Source organism: Homo sapiens, chromosome 1 (genome assembly GCF_000001405.40).
Source record: "Homo sapiens chromosome 1, GRCh38.p14 Primary Assembly".
Classification (NCBI taxonomy): domain Eukaryota; kingdom Metazoa; phylum Chordata; class Mammalia; order Primates; family Hominidae; genus Homo; species Homo sapiens.
The window spans coordinates 181,206,735-181,208,227 of record NC_000001.11 but is presented as its reverse complement, the minus strand read 5'-3'; the positions used below and the strand labels follow the sequence as shown (position 1 = coordinate 181,208,227).

The window sequence follows — 1,493 nt, the reverse complement described above, 5'->3', positions numbered from 1 at the left end:
CAACCATGTAAGGAAGCCAAGCTAGCGAACCCTAAGCCACTGGAGATTTCTCTGATTCCGTTTTACACCCTTGGAGGCATGAAGCAGACGCTGTCATCTGCCGTCTGTCTGTCCACCTAGAAGAGAAAGAATAGACCCTTATGAAAACACAGAAGAGAATTAATAAAAATTTGTTGAAGCGTGAATGATGGTAGGCCAGGGTTGCAAAGGGCAAATCTTGCTAAAAATAGGGAAGTGTTTGGACTGGCCTGGGGAGACATTTCTCCCGGTGTCTAGCCATCCACTAAAGGCTTGAGGATAGTGGTTGCAAATCAAAGTCATGCATCAAATCACCTGTTAGCTGTTTGGACACATCATGTAATGACTCTGATTCAGGAAGTCTCAGACAGTGCCCAGGAATCTGGAACTTTCAAATGCTTCCCAAGGATTCGTATTTGCTTCCCTGTTTGAGAACCATTGCTCTCAAGCTTTCCTTCTCACGGTGTTGCTCCAGAGAAACGCAACATGAGCATCACCTGGGGGCTCCTTAGGAAGGCGGAATCTCAGGTCCCACCAGGCCTGCGCAATCAGAAACCGCACTGCAACAGGAGCCTGCGGTGACTTTAAAGGTGGGAGGAGCACCCACCTAAAGGCAGTTAGGGTCGCCTCTGTGTGTTAGGGTCGCCTGGTGGGTCGTCTGACAGCCAGGCAGTCCCCTGCTTGAGCACTGCAGGGAGGCGGCCTGTCACCAGGTGTGTGGCCCTTTAGTCACAGTCTGAGTCTCCACATTACCGTCCTACAGGGCTCTGAGGTTGTAGCAGTGGCCTCAGAGGTCCTTGTCAGAGGGAGTTTCCTAGATATCAGAATCCCAAGACACCTTCAAACCCACAGCACTATGGGGTCAGTACCACAGTGAGGACCTAAGCTCTTGCCACACGGAAACTCAGAATGAGGGCTGCCTTCTGAAGCATGGACTGGCAGCCTGGGAGCAGCAGAAGCTTGCCTTCTCGGCTTCAGTGCACTTCCCTGCAGCACATAACAAAAGGAGCAGGAGCCGCAGGCTGGCAAAGCTCAGAATGGCCCAGGCCCAGGCTCTGCAATGACCCAGGAGGGCCTCCTCAGCTCTCTGTGGCCACGAGGGAGGGAGGGCGGGCGGGTGGGCAGGAGACCCTTCTGTCTCCTGTGTCTCCAGTGCCCCCAGGAGCTGCCAATGGTTTTACGGGTTTAAGCAGGCTGCCCAGGAGTTACCAAGCTAATGACTTCCAGCGAGGTAAAACAAGGCAGGCCCTGTGTCTGCCAGGGAAGTAGCTGTCCTTCTCTTCACACCGCCCTAACTCAGGCCTCTGCACCTGCAGCCAGTAAGGTCATCGTCAGTTCTCCAATGTGCCTGCCCTCCTCACCCTCAAGCAGTGCCAAGCCCTGCTCAGGGGAATCAGAACACAGCCAGGGCACAGTTTCTGACACACTGAGATGCAAGGCAGAGGCCTCCAAAACCATGCGGGTGTCAATTGTGG

General features: G+C 53.9%; 1 annotated feature.

Moving 5' to 3' along the window:
* Positions 270–1,179: an enhancer, noted in NCBI's record as "H3K4me1 hESC enhancer chr1:181176185-181177094 (GRCh37/hg19 assembly coordinates)". NCBI's record gives its function as "activates a minimal SCP1, AML or CMV promoter by ChIP-STARR-seq in naive H9 embryonic stem cells {active_cell/tissue: H9 hESC(naive)}" and the evidence as "EXISTENCE:reporter gene assay evidence [ECO:0000049][PMID:30033119]".